The sequence below is a fragment of the Homo sapiens genome, chromosome 4 (genome assembly GCF_000001405.40).
Source record: "Homo sapiens chromosome 4, GRCh38.p14 Primary Assembly".
Classification (NCBI taxonomy): domain Eukaryota; kingdom Metazoa; phylum Chordata; class Mammalia; order Primates; family Hominidae; genus Homo; species Homo sapiens.
In genome coordinates this window covers 122,968,325-122,983,811 of record NC_000004.12, presented here as the reverse complement: position 1 = coordinate 122,983,811, position 15,487 = coordinate 122,968,325, and the positions used below count along the sequence as shown (strand labels likewise).

At 38.0% G+C, this 15,487-nt stretch overlaps 1 protein-coding gene across 19 annotated transcripts in view; it reads right to left on the bottom strand.

The window, feature by feature from the left end:
- The window catches only part of AFG2A (AAA ATPase AFG2A), a 396,356-nt gene that overhangs the window by 335,622 nt on the left and 45,247 nt on the right, over positions 1–15,487 (bottom strand). For all 19 annotated transcript variants that reach the window (XR_007096375.1, XR_007096376.1, XR_007096377.1 and 16 more), the window contains one exon: positions 4,426–4,580. Coding sequence is in view for 16 of the 19 variants with exons in the window: in NM_001438322.1 (NP_001425251.1) it covers positions 4,426–4,580 (155 nt within the window). In the remaining 3 variants the exon portion in view is untranslated. The remainder of the gene's footprint in view (positions 1–4,425; positions 4,581–15,487) is intronic.

Here is a 15,487-nt window from a genome sequence, read left to right as displayed (position 1 = left end):
CAGAGTCCTGTGATGTGAACCATCTATGGGGCTCTCAAATACATATTCTTTTCAAGTGCACATGACACATTCTGAAGGATAGATCATATCTTAGACCACAAAACAAGTCTAAAAAGTTTAAGAAGACTAAAATCATATCACGTATCTTTTCTGTCCATAATCATACAAACCAGAAAAGAATAACAGGAAAAAAAAATTGGAAAATCCACAAATATCTGGAAATTAAACAACATACTCCTGAACAATCAATGGGTCAAAGATGAAATCAAAAGAAAAATAAAAAAAAGTCTTAAGACAAATGGAAATAGAAACACAACATACCAAAACTTTGATACAGCAAAAGTAGTTCTATGAGGAAAGTTTATAGCAATAAATACCTATATTAAGAAAAAAGAAATATCTCAAATGAACAACCTAATTTTACACAACAAAGAAATAGAAAAAGAACAAAATAAGTTCAGAGTTAGCAGAAGGAAGGAAATACTAAAGATCAGAGCAGAAATAAATGAAATGGAGACTAGAAAAATAATTTAAAAGATCAATGTAAGAATATAAAAAGATCAACATTAGTTGTTTTTTCAAAAGATAAGCAAAATTGACAAATCTTTGCCTAGACTACTATAAAAAAAAGAAAGAAGATTAAAGTAGGCTGGGCGCGGTGCTCACACCTGTAATCCTAGCACTTTGGGAGGCTGAGGTGGGCGGATCATGAGGTCAGGAGTTTGAGACCAGCCTGACCAACATGGTGAAACCCCGTCTCTACTAAAAATACAAAAATTAGCTGGGCGTTGTGGCGGGTGCCTGTAATCCCAGCTACTCAGGAGGTTGAGGCAGGAGAATCACTTGAACCCAGGAGGCGGAGGTTGCCGTGAGCCAAGATGGTGCCATTGCACTCCAGCCTGGGTAACAGAGCGAGACTCCGTCTCAAAAAAAAAAAAAAAAAAAAAGAAGAAGATTAAAGTAAATAAACTGAGAAATGAAACAGGAGACACTACAATTGATACCACAAAAATACAATCATAAGAGACTAATATGAACAATTACATGGCAACAATTTGGCCAACCAAGAAGAAAGAAAGAAATTCCCAGAAACATACAACCTACCAAAAATGAATCATAAAGAAAATCTGAACAGGCCAATAATGAGTGAGGGGAATAAACCAATAATCAAAAAGCTCCCTAACAAAGAAAACTCCAAGACCCGAGAAGTTATGCTTCTCAAGCATTAGCATCACTTCTTTAAATTCTTAGTAGAATTCACAAAACTTCCAATAAACTGAAGAGGAAGGAACACTTCCAAACTCACTTTATGAGGCCAGCATTAATGTGATACAAGAATGCTGTAAGAATAGAAAATTACAGGCCAATATCCTTGGTGAACATAGATGGAAATATTCTCAACAAAATATTTGCAAACCAAATTCAATAGCACATTAAAAGGATCATACACCATGATCCAATGAGATTCATCCCTAGGATGCAAGGCTGCTGGTTCAACATATGCAAATCAATAAACATGATACGCCACCTTAAAAGGACGAAGAATAAAAATCATAAAATCATATCAATAGATACAGAAAAAGCATTTGACAAAATTCAACATCCTTTCATGATAAAAACTCTCAATACATTAGACAGAATGTATCTCAACATCATAACGCTATATGTATGACAAGCTCACGGCTAACATCATACCCAACAATGAAAAGCTAAAAACTTTTCCTCTAAGATGAAGAGCAAGACAAAATGCTCACTCTCGCAACTTCTATTTAATATAGTACTGAAAGTCATAGCCAGGGAAATTAGGCAAGAAAAAGAAATAAAAAGCATCCGAATTGAAAAAGAAGAAAAAAATTGTCTGTTTGCAGATGACATAATCTTATATAAAGGAAACCCTAAATATTCCACCAAAAAAAAAAGATTAAAACCAATAAATGAATTCAGTAAATTGGCAGGATACAAAATCGACAACAAAAGTCAGTAGCATTTCTATACTCTAACAACTATCCAAAAAATTAAAAAAAGAAAATCCCATTTACAATAGTATTTTTTAAATATACCGAAAAAACTTAACCAAGACGGTGAAAGACCTGTACACTGAAAACTATAAAATACTGATGAAATAGAAGACACAAATACATAGAATAATGTCTAATGTTCATGAATTTTAAAAATTAACACTATTAAAATATTCATACTACCCAAAATTGTCTACAGATTTAATGTAACCACTACCAAAATTCCAATGGCATTTTTCTCTAAAATATGAAAAGCAACCCTAAAATTCATAAGGAAACATAAAAGTCACCATATAGTCAAAGTAATCTCAAGCAAAAAAAAAAAAAAAAGCTGTAGGCATCACACTATCTGATTTCAAAATATACTACAAAGCTATGATAATCAAGACAGCAATATACTGGCATAAAAACAGACATATAAATAAATGAAACAATAGAGAGCCCAGAAATAAATCCACGCATGTACAGTCAATTGATCTGCAAAGGTACCGAAGAACACGCAATGACGAAAGCACAATCTCTTTAAAAAATGGTGTCAGGAAAACTGTATATCCACATGATATCCATATGATAAACTGTATGTCCACACATGAAACTGGCCAGTCTTCTCACACCACATACAAAAAATCAGTTCAAAATGGATTAAATATTTAAACATAATATCTAGAACTGTAAAACTACTAGAAGAAAACATAAGGAAAAGCCTTATGGCATGGGTCCAGGGCAATGAATTTTTGGATACACTCCAAAAGCAGAGGCAAGAAAAACAAAAACTGACAAACAGGACTGCATCAAACCAGAAAGTTCTGCACAGCAAAGGAAACAGAGTAAAGAGACAACCTATGGAATGGGAGAAAATATGTGTGAACCATATATGAGGTAAGGGGCTGCTATCCAAAATACTAAAATATATATTAAGAAACTCAAACAACTCAAAAGCAAAAAAAAACAAACAATCTGATTAAAAATGGGCAAAGGATCTGAGTAACATTTGTTAAAAGAAGACGTACAAATGGCTAACTGGTATATGAAAATATGTTCAATACCACTAATCATCAGGGTAATACAAATCAAAACTATAATGAGATATCACCTCACATCTGTTAGGAAGGCCATTACCAAAAAGATGAAAGATAAGTGTTGCCAAGGATATGGAGAAAAAGAAACCCTTGTACACTGTTGGTGGGAATGTAAAGTGGTACAGACATTATGGAAAAATGGTATGGTGGTTCCTCAAAATATTAAGTTACCAAAAGATTCAGCAATCCTACTACTGGGTACATATCAAAAGGAAATGAAGTATCTCAAAGCGATATCTGCACTCTCATGTTCACTACAGCACTATTCACAACATCCAAGATAGGGAATCAATCTAAGTGTCCCTCAACAGATGAACAGAGAAAGAAAATGTGGTATAATGGTACAAAGAAATGTGGCATAATGGAATATTATTTGGCCTTATAAAAAGAAGAAAATACTGTCATTTATAATAACATGGATGAATCTGGGGAACATTATGCCTACTGAAATAAGTTAAGGTACACAGAAAGACAAAAGATCTTACTCATATGTGAAAAAAGCTAATTCCAAAAGGTTGTATACAGTATGATTCCATTTATATAAAGGTTCTGAAATAAAAATTTAGAAATGAGGGGAGGAATGAGGTGGGTGTGATTATAAAAGACAACATGAGGGATCTTTGTGGTGATGGAATTACTTAGTATCTGTGATGAATATGCAAACCTTTTCATGAGATAAAATTGTATAAAACTAAATAAACACATACACACAAGTAAAACTGAAAAAATATGAGTAAGATCAATGGATTGTATCAATAGGGGTATCCTGGTTTTAGTATTGTAATATAGTTTTTTGGGTGTTTTGTTTTTTGTTTTTGAGACAGGGTCTCGCTCTGTCACCCAGGCTGAAGTGCAGTGGCATAACCATGGCTCACTGCAGCCTCAACATTCCCCAGGGCTCAGATGATCCTCCCACCTCAGCTGTAGCTGGGACTACAGGTGTACACCACCACACTCAACTAATTTGTACTTTTTGTAGAGATGGGGTTTTACCATGTTAACCAGGCTGGTCTCAAACTCCTGGGCTCAAGTGATCCGCCCACCTCAGCCTCCCAAAGTGCTGGGATTGCAGCCATGAGCCACTGCACCCAGCCTGTACTTCAGTTTTGCAAAATGTTGCCACTGGAGGAAACTGGGTATAGGATACACAGAATCTCCCTACATTACTTCGTATAACTGCACTGAATTTACAGCTATCTCAATAAAACTTTCAATTAAGAAAAATATTTTTTTAAAGTTTAGCCTAGGAAGTCAGTCTCCCTGAACTCTAAATTTTTTTCAGAGTTTAATTCAAACAGTGTAGCTAGTGTGGGACATAAATGACTTACATTTGGGACATCAATTGCTATTTCCCTCATGGCACTGGGTCTGATATCATTCATTGCCTGCAAGAAATCCTTCAGAGTAATCTTCACCAGTCCAGCCACCTTGACATCAGGGAGGTTAGGCTGTTTTTTCAGGATTCTCCGCAAGGCACAGAGACCTATAAAGAGAGGAAAGTAACACAAGATTTGTCTTTTCCTTCATAAATACAGACTGAATTGATGGCTCCGGTGGCCCATCTGGAGTGGCAACAGTGAAGACACTGGCTGCAGTGGGGGAGGCGTGGCCAGGGCTGCATACTCCACGAAGCCAGTGGGAGCTGGGAACAGGCAGGAGCCCTGCTCTTTTCCAAGTTGGTGGGGTGTGAGCCCCACTCACCCAGGCACAGCTGCAGCTGCCCAGCCATGGCTGTGGACCCAGGTATCCCTCCACTCTCGAGAACCCAGGAAGCACCCCCTGCCCCAACAGGCTCCGAAGTGCCTGCTTCTACTGCCTGGCCTCTCCCCAGTCCCAGAAAAACTTTTTGCCTGCTCTGATTTCAGACCAAAGTTAAGGCTGAGCCAAGCCACTGTCATGACCCACCTAGGTGTTCATGTGCTCAAGGTGGCACTGACAGTCCAGCTCCCTTCCACCTTGGTCCCCTCCAGACTTTGGGTGCCAATGAGTATGTGAGGGAGGCTGAGGGTGGCTTGGCGCAGTCCTGCAAGCGCCCCTCAGCATGAACAGCCCCAGCACCATGGACGACATGATTGATGGCAGCAGGAGGCAGAGAGGCTCCTGGGCAGAAAGGAGTGAGTCCCTGGTGAAGCCCCACCTTTAAGCCAGGGACAGCCTGAAGCATGGAGGGCAGGCTGTCAGAGCTGGGTAGAGTCTGCAGCTGAGACCAAGAACTTATGGTGCTTTTTCTGGGCCTGCCCATGGCCACCCATGGACCAATCAGCATGCACTTCCTCCCTTCTGAAGCCCATAAAAACCCGACTCAGCCAGACTCACTGGGATGTCAGGACTACCAGCTGTGAGAAGGAGCTACCCACCCTGGGTCTCCTCACCACTAAGAGCAGGACATTCACTGGGACACCCTGCCTATGGAAAGGAGCTACCCACTCCGGGTCTCCTCTCCGCTGAGAAGTAGACACTCGTTGGGGCAACCTGCCTGCAGAAAGGAGCCACCCACTCCAGGTCTCCTCTCTGCTGAGAGCTGGACACTCATCAGGCTGACCAGCTTGAGGACAGGAGCTACTCACTCTGGGTCTCCTCTCCGCTGAGAACTGGACACTAGCTGGGATGCCAGATAGGAGCTACCCATTCTGGTCTCCTCTCCACTGAGAGCTGGACATGCACTGGGACAACCTGCCTACAGAAAGAAGCTACCCACTCTGGGTCTCCTCTCCACTGACAGCAGGACACTCATCAGGATGACCTACCTGCAGAAAGGAGCTACCCACTCCAGGTGTCCTCTCTGCGGAAAGCTAGACATTTGTGAGGATGGCCTGCCTGTGGACAGCAGCTACCCCCTCCAGGTATCCTCTCTGCTGAGAGCTGGACGCTCATCAGGACGACCTGATGGCAGAAGGACCTACCCACTTCAGGTCTCCTGAGAGCTGTTCTCTTGCTCAATGAAGCTCCTCTCTGCCTTGCTCACCCTCCAGCTGTCCACATACCTCATTCTTCCTAAAGGCTGCACAAGAACTCAGGACCTTCCAAATGGCAGGACTGAAAGAGCTGTAACACAAACAGGACTGAAACACGCCCACTGGTCACCACATTTTGGGCAATGAGAAGAAGAGGAGCTGTGGCCCTCTGGGGAGCCCAGATGCAAGGGCTGTGATCAGAGCTGTGATACCAGAGCTGTGACACTCTCTTTGGGGCTCTGCTGTTTCCAACATCTCCAAGCTTCCAGGTACCACCACGTTACCTGGTGCCCACGGTGGAAAACACTTGTGGTATGCCTGGTCCAGCCACATCCTCACACAGAGCCGGTGCCTGTGCCTGCACCTGGGGCTGTCCACTCCACTGCAGCCAGCATGCCTGGCTGTGTGCAGTGGCCGGACCTCGGGCTCACTCACACCCCCTTCACTGCTCTGCGCCTGGCTCACCCTTGGCAGGTGTAGGATCCAGGTCAATAGCACAAGCCAAGTACAGCCTGCTGGACCAAGTGGGCAGAACAAGCCCAGTGGGCCCGAGGATATAACTCGGGCAGAGGTGCCACCGGCCACAGAGGTTTCTGGCTGGAAAAGTGACACCCTAAGGATCCTGTGACAGAATTATCACCAATAAAAATATTAAAAAACCCAAACCCCATGCAAGATTACAGCATTTAAAACATTTTGTCCTTGTAGGGGAGGGGATGAGAGGTTGGAAGAGAGGTGGAAGAATGTGAAGAATAAATGTAAAAATCCAAGCACTTAGTTTTGGCAATGAAAATATGACAAATACTTAATATGAGAAAGCATTATTTACAAATATAAAATAGAATTTACAAAACAACATCCATAAAAAAAGCCAAAAAGATTTATCAAAATAATTTGTTTGGGGAACTTCTTTTAAAAGAGTAAAATATTAAAATTAAAACATGCTTTTGCCCCTGCCCTTTTGGTAAATACATTCAAACTAGAATTACAAAGTTTTAAGGTACTGGGAAAACACCTGCAAGCAAACATTCAGGTGGCAGTTGGAAATGTGATTTTGAAATACAAGAGCGAAGCAAACTTCAGAGTGATGTGCATACATGTAAGATTTGATATTATAGCAAGGGAGAGATCTAAAAGGGGAGGCTAGTGAGGGGTCAGGGATGGAGGAATAAGTGTAGAAGGCTCAATCTTAGGAAAGCCCATCAATTGAATAGCATAAAAAGAAACGATGTTTTAAAAGGGAAAGAAAAACTAGGATGACGTAGAATAAAAGGTACTAAAGCAGCCAGGAAGATAGTCAACAAAGTCAAATTTAGAGAGATCCAAAATAAATTCAAAGATACCATGCTGACTTGAGAAGTTAGATACTAAGTTCTTTGTCTTTGCTATTTGCTTGAAATTTAAACATTGACAAGAGTGAATGTCCTCTCCATCAGGCTGTGAGATTTAGAGCCCTTTGATCTGTGACGACCTTTAGTCTAGAAGACAGTAAGTCACTATATGCTCTTTGTGTTAAGAGTGTTTAATAAAATTCCACTTTGAAGGAGTTTAATCTCAGAGATCTCTCAGAAATCCAGTCTGAATATCTAAAGTTATCCTGGAACACCAGCTAGCTCCCATGATTTTTTAACCTTTCTTGTTCAAAACACTATACCTCAATACATTTTTACTAAATTAAAATGATACCACTCCATCATTTTGTTTTCACTTATTTGAACTTTTATATATAAACAGAAGCATTAATAAAAAGAAGATACAAAACTCCACAAAACAGAGGGTTGAGTATCTTTCTCTACCAAGAAAAAGCAGTGAATAGTACAAACATACACCAAAAATAGATCCCCTGCTTCCTAAAGACAGCAAGTCACTTCTTTAGGACATCTTACAAATACCCACTTGCTTTATCTGCCTTCCAAAATGCTGAAAGATGGTTCTTCACATCTCTTGCACTTCTGCTTGAGAGTAAAATCACTGACTGCCTCTGTTCAAGACTATCTTTTAAAGGATGTTGGTATGCAGGAAAAGAAAGTGTCTCTCTCCAAAGCAAAGGATAGACATGCTTACTGTCCATTATAAAAGATTCAGGTTCTACAATTCAAGGCTCCCCTACTGTGATGCAAGCCTATAAAGGCTCAGGTGTCAGGTAGCCCTCTGTATCACTCCGTGAAAACTGAGGCTCAGGAACTGGTGCAAATGCTGCTACTCTAGCTAATTATGTTGCTGCAATATTCTTTCCTTTGACTCTTCTGCAGCCACTCACAAAATTTGTTAGAATAGAGTAAAAGTAGAGTAAAATCTCAGACCCTTTACAATTCTTGACATGTTTATGTTTGCTATGGTATGAATGTTTTTGTCTCCTCCAAAACTCATGTTAAAACTTAATCCCTAATGACACACTGATGGGAGGTGAGGCCTAATGAGAGGTGTCTCCAGCCTCATGAATGGATTAATACAGCTATAAGAAAGGCTTGCCCTTTTTCTTACCCTTCTGCTATGTGAGGACACAACGTTCCTCTCCTTTAGAGAATATGGCATTCAAGGCACCATCTTGGATGCAAAGAGACTGAGCCCAAACCTGCCAGCACCTTGATCTTGGACTTTCCAGCCTCCAGAACTGTGAGAAATAAATTTCTGTTCTTTGTAAATTACCAAGTATGTGGTATTTTGTTATAGCAGCAGAAACTGGACTAAGACGATGATAAATTGGGTCGATTTACTACTCGACATCCTCATTAGTTAAATGGAGCAGAAGCATTAAAAAATATTCAGTGATAAAGACAGTCCCTGACTTAGGATTCAACTTAAGACTTTTCAACTTTATGGCCAGGTGTGGTGGCTCATGCCTGTAATCCCACCACTTTGGGAGGCCAAGGCAAGCGGATCACCTGAGATCAAGAGTTCGAGACCAGCCTGACCAACATGGAGAAACCACGTCTCTACTAAAAATACAAAATTAGCCGGGTGTGGTGGTGCATGCCTGTAATCCTAGCTGCTTGGGAGGCTGAGGCAGGAGAATCGCTTGAACCCAGGAGGCAGAGGCTGCGGTGAGCCGAGATCGCACCATTGCACTCCAGCCTGGGCAATAATAGCAAAACTCCGTCTCAAAAAAAAAAGAGTTTTCCACTTTACAATGGTACAAAAGCAATATGAATTCAGTAATTTTCTTGCAACGCTGGGCAGCCACAGCAAGCTACAGTTCCAAGTCAGCCACACACATATTTTGACTCACTAGTTTTTTCAGGACATAACCCCATCATAAGTTGAGGAGTATCTATGCAGTGCCATGTTGTATCAAACAGTACCTTGTGGCCTGGGAAAATTTAAGCTGTTCCTAAAATATCTAACATAAATGGATGTAATCAAAATACTTCAATGCCAGATAGTATCTGGCAATACTTGCCAATATTTCTAATTTGGACCAGATACATCACCCTACTGAGACAGAAAAACTGAAACAGGGAAAATGGTCTAGTAATTTTCCTGCCACTTTTTTTTATATCATGCAAACATAAAATCTGACACTAAATGATACATTATTTTCATTTAAGGAAGGGGTCTAGAAAACACAGGCAATATGTGGTTTTTAAAAGTATATTTAATATTATAATATAAACATATTTATAAAATAACAAAATCTCTATTATTTCTAATACAAACTACAGAATTTAAGCTGGATAAAATCTCCACTCCTCTGAACATAGAAAGAAAATAGTAACTCACAGGAGGAAAACAAAGGCAAGAGAAACATGGAATTTTTCAAAAGTTAAAAAATAGTAAAGTACAAGTTGGGCACGGTGGCTCACACTTGTAATCCCAACACTTTGGGAGGCTGAGACGGGCGGAGAGCTTGCATCCAGGAGTCCGAGACTAGCCTGGGCAACACTGTGTGTCTTCATCTCTAAAAAAATTTCAAAAATTAGCCAGGCTTCGTGGCATGTGCCTATAGTCCTAGCTACACGCAATGACTGTTTGAGCCCAGGAAGTCAAGACCGCAGTGAGCCATCATCATGCTGCTGCACTCAGTCACTAAACTTGGGTGACAGGTGAGACCCTGTCTCCAAAAAAGTAAAGTACAAAGACTGATTCTGTAATAAACATAGCACAACTTAATGTACCCAAATAATAAGTAAACATCTGTTGCAATGTTTGCAATGCATACTAGCCCCTAATAAGCCAAGGAGACAAACATAGGATATTCACTAAAGGCCAAGTTAAAATGTTTAACTAAAAAGACAATGGGAAGAGGATGAAATAATAAAAATACTTGCCTATTCCAAAAGAATGAAAAAAAAAACAGGAAAAAAAACATACAAGTGGGGCAAATAAGGAAGTACATTAAACCTAAGTATTTTAAGATATTACCCTAAATATAAATGTATTAAGTACTTGAATTTAAACAATGACAACAGCAGATGGATTAAAAAAATAAAACCCCAATTTACCCTGCATACAAGTGATGTATCTGAAATATAAGAATATACAAAGGTTGAAAGTAAAAGAATAAAAGGAATACTATGCAAATATACACAGAATGAAATATACATGGAAGGATAACAGTGCACCTATATCTACTATCAAATAGGCATTAAGTAAGAGGCATCACCAGACACTCGGGGTAATAAAAGGGTCAATTCACCAAGAATATACAAAATTCTAAATTAATACATGCCTGATAACAAAATTCAAAATACATAAAACAAAAGTAAACAGAACTAAATGGAGAAACAGACCTTGCCTGCAGGTTTTAACATACTTCCCTTATTAGCCAAAATTTTTAAAAAGAATATATAGAAGATACCAGAAGATACGAAAAACAAAGTTAACTCACTTATCCTAATTGGTATATATTAAAAAACAACATCAAAATAATAAAATAACTCTGTTTTCCAGCATACCTGGAATATCTACCAAAACTGACCCTATGCTAGGACACAAAGCAACTCTCCATGTAACTCAAGGATTGAAATCATAAAGTATAGTTCTCTGACCTCAGGAGAATGAATAACAAAATCAGTAACAAAAAAATGCTAAGAAATACACAAATATTTGAAAATCAGTTAATTCATTTCTAAATAACTCATGGCTCAAAAAAAATCACAATGAAAACTGAATTTTTTCAACTGAATAATAATACAAATATAATATGAAAATCTGTAGGATGCTGCTACTGCAGTACTGAAGGGGACACTGGTAGGCTTAATGTAGATAAAAAAAAAAAAAGACTGACAGTCAGTGAGGCATTCATCTTAAGAAATTAGAAAAAGAAGAAATTAAACCTAAAAGAAAAAAGAAGGAGGGAAATAATGAAGAAAACAAATGCACAATTAAAAAAAGTAACCAGTAAAGCCAAAGGTTGGTTGTCTGAAAATGAGAGAAGAGACACATTTCCAATACTAGGAATGAAAAAGCAGACATCATTACAAAACCTACTGCCATTAAAAAGATAAGAGGATAGTAGGAATAACTTTATGCCAAATAATTTGAAATGTAGATAAAATGAACAAGTTTCTAGGGGAAAAAAATTTACCAAAACTAATATACAAACAAACTATACAATTTGAATATTTCAATAGATATTAAAGAAATTAAATCTATAATTAAAACCTTTCCTACAGAGAAAATTCTAAGTACAGATGGCTTCACTGATAAATGTCACCAAATACTTAAGGATGAATATGACATTAATTTTTAAAAAATTGTTCCAGAGAAAAAATAATTCCCAACTTGATTCACAAGGGTAGCATAATCTTGCTCCTCAAATCTTAAAGGGACATTACAAGGAAAAAAAATTACAGGTCAATCTCTCATGAACATAGGTGCAAATATCTTAAACAAAACATCAGCCAAAAGATCAATACATTAAAAAGAATTACAAAATTGTGACAACTTGGCTCTATTACAGGAATGCCAGATTCATGTAACATTTAAAAATCAATCAACATCATTCTTCCCATTAATAGAATAAAGAGTTCATATGACTATCTCAATAAATGTAGAAATGTGATAAAATATCATTAATTATATTTTTTTAAAAGCTAGGAATAGATACAAACCTCCTTATCACGCATACAACAAAAAAAATTCTTAATATTAAGTAACAGTTTGTAAACTTTCTATTAAATCAAGAATGAGATAAGGATTACTATTGTTACCACTTCTATTAAATACTGTCAGAGGTCCTATGTAGTATAGTAAGTCAAGGAAGACAAAGAATAGGTGTAGAGTTGAACAAAATAAAATTTAAAACTCATTATTTGAAATGTATACATAGAAAACTATAACATAATTGATAGATAAAAAACTCAAAAGAACTTACATACACACTACTAAAATTTTGTTTTTTGTGGTTTTTTTGAGACAGGGTCTCACTCTGTCACCCAGTCTGGAGTGTAGTGGTGCAATCTCAGCTCATTATAGCCTCAACCTCCCACACTCAAGTAATCCTCCTACCTCAGCCTCACAAGTAGCTGGGACTACAGGTGCATACCACCACGCTCAGCTATTCTGTAAATTTTCTGTAGAGATGGTGTCCCACTATGTTGCCCAGGCTCGTCTCAAGCTCCTGGGCTTAAGGGATCCTCCCACCTTGGCCTCCCAATGTGCTGGAGTTATAGGTATAAGCCACTGTGCCTGGCCCACACTATTAAAATTAATAAGTGCATTTGGCAAGGTAGGTAGACACAGTCAATACAAAAAAAATTACTTTTTCTATTGGGAGGCCAAAGCAAGTGGATCACTTGAGGTCAGGAGTTCATGACCAGCCTTGCCAACATAGTGAAACCCTGTCTCTACTAAGCTACTTGGGAGGCTGAGGCACAAGAATTGCTTGAACCCGGGAGGCAGAGGTTGCAGTGAGCTGAGATAGTGCCACTGCACTCCAGCCTGGGTGACAAAGCAAGACTCCGTCTCAAAAAAAAATTTTTTTTTACTTCTTCTAGATACAGACATGCGTTGCTTAATGACAGGGATACGTTCTAAGAGATGTGTCTTTATGCGATTTTGTCATTGTGCAAACATTATAGAGTATACTTATACAAATCTAGATGGTATGGCCTACTATACATCTAGGCTATATGGTATAGCCTATTGCTTCTAAGCTACAAACCTGTGCAGCAAGTTACTATACTCAATACTGTAGGTAACCGTAACACAATGGTATTTGTATACCTAAACATAGAAAAAGAAAAGGTACAGTAAAAATACAGTATAAAAGATTTACAAAGATCGTGCCACTGCACTCCAGCCTGGGTGACAAAGTGAGATTCCGTCTCAAAAAAAAAAAAAAATTTTTTTTTTACTTTTTCTAGATACAGCCATGCATTGCTTAATGACAGGGATACATTCTGAGAGATGTGTCTTTATGTGATTTTATCATTGTGCAAACATCAAAGAGTCTACTTATGAAAATCTAGATGGTATGGCCTACTATACAGCAAGGCTACAAACCTGTAAGGCATGTTACTATACTCAGTACCATAGGTAACTATAACACAATGGTAAGTATTTGTGTATCTAAACATAGAAAAAGAAAAGGTACAGTAAAAATATAGTATAAAAGATTAAAAAATGTTATACCTGTGTGGGCACTTACCATGAATGAGGCTTATAGGACTGGAAGTTGCTCTGGGTAAGTCAGTGAGTATGTGCTGAGCAAATGTGAAGGCCCAGGACATTACTATACTCTACTGTAAACACTATCCACTTAGGCTACACCAAATTTAAAAATAATAATACTAATTACACTACTACTTTACAATGGTTATGATGTCACTGGATGATAGGAATTTTTCAGCTCCATTATAATCTTACAGAGCCACTGTAGTATATACCATTCATCCTTGACTAAAACATCGTTATGCAGTCCGTGACTATACTAACATAAAATAATTACAAGTGAAACTTTACAAAATGCCATTCATAAGTGCATTCAAAAAACCAAAGTACCTAAGAATAAATCTAATTAACAGTATGCAAGACTTTTCACATAAAACTACCAAACTACCTGGAGGGAAATTAAGGAAAATCTAAAATAAAATGAAGGAATCTAAGAAGTTCATGGATTACAAGGTATTAACTTCCCAAATCTCTCCAAATTGATTGAAAGACTTAATAATTCCAATCAAAATGCAAGCCAGTTTACTGGGTGGGGAGAAGGAAGAACCCGACACATTGATTTTAAAACTTCTATGGGAATGCAAAGTGCCAACAATAGTCAAGAAAATTTTGATGACCATTTTTTTAAAAAAATATCACTTACCCTCCAGAAATTATGACTTTTTATAAGGCTGAAAGTATTGAAGACATTTCAGTATTGTGGACAAGGATAAAAGACCATTGAGGCAGAGCAGAGAATCTAAAATGAACACAAACCCTTGATTTATGTACAACAAAGGTAACACAGAAGCAAGGCAGAAATTGATGGTCATTTCAATAACTGGTATAACACATCTATATGAAAAAAAGTGAAGCAATTAAAGATAGCAACATGAAAGGAAAAACAATAAAAGCATCAAGAAGGTAAGAGAAAATATACCTAACAGTAGATTTGACCAAGATTTCTTAAGCTAGCTACAAAAATCACCAGCCACGAAGAAAAAGACTGATGAACTGGATCCTTTATATCAATATATATTATAATAAATATATAATTATAAACTTTCTGTTCCTCAAAAAGATACTACAGAGAATAAAAATGTAAGCCACAGAGTAGAAGATATTTAAAATACATATATCTAACAAAGGTCTCACAACTAAGCTATATTAATAACTTCCACAAATCAATATATTTTTAAAAAGTAACCCTACAGAAAAATTGAATAGATACTTGACAGGCACATCACAAAGAAAGACATCTAAATGGTCAATTCAAATATAAAAAGTACTCAGACTCAGTCATCAGGGAACTAAAACCACAATGAAATACTGCTATAAACTCCATGTCAGCACCCACGAGAAGAAACTGGAATTTTCACGCACAACAGGTAGAAAGGTAAATTGGTAAAATCACTACAAAAACGTTTTGGCAGTATTTAGTAACAAGAATCCTATAACCCAATAATTCCACTCTTAGACAAATAATAGACAGAAATGCATACATTTGTGCAGCAAAAGGCATGTGCAAGAATGTTCATGGCATTACTCATAATACTTAAACAATCGAATTCAGCAATAAAAATGAACTCCTGCTATGCAGAATAAAATGATGAAGCTCCCAAACCATAAAACAAGTGAAAGAAGAGAAGGCAAAACAGGCAAAACTGATCTATGGCATTCGAAGCCAGGAGAGTGGTTGCCTTTTGGGTTGAGGTGAGCATGTAGGGCTGGGAAAGGGTCTGAGAGAGGTACCAGGAAGCTAGTAATGCTCTGTATCTTGATCTGAGTGGTGGTTACACAAGTGTGTTCACTTTGGAAAACACATGGATATTTTAGCTTATGC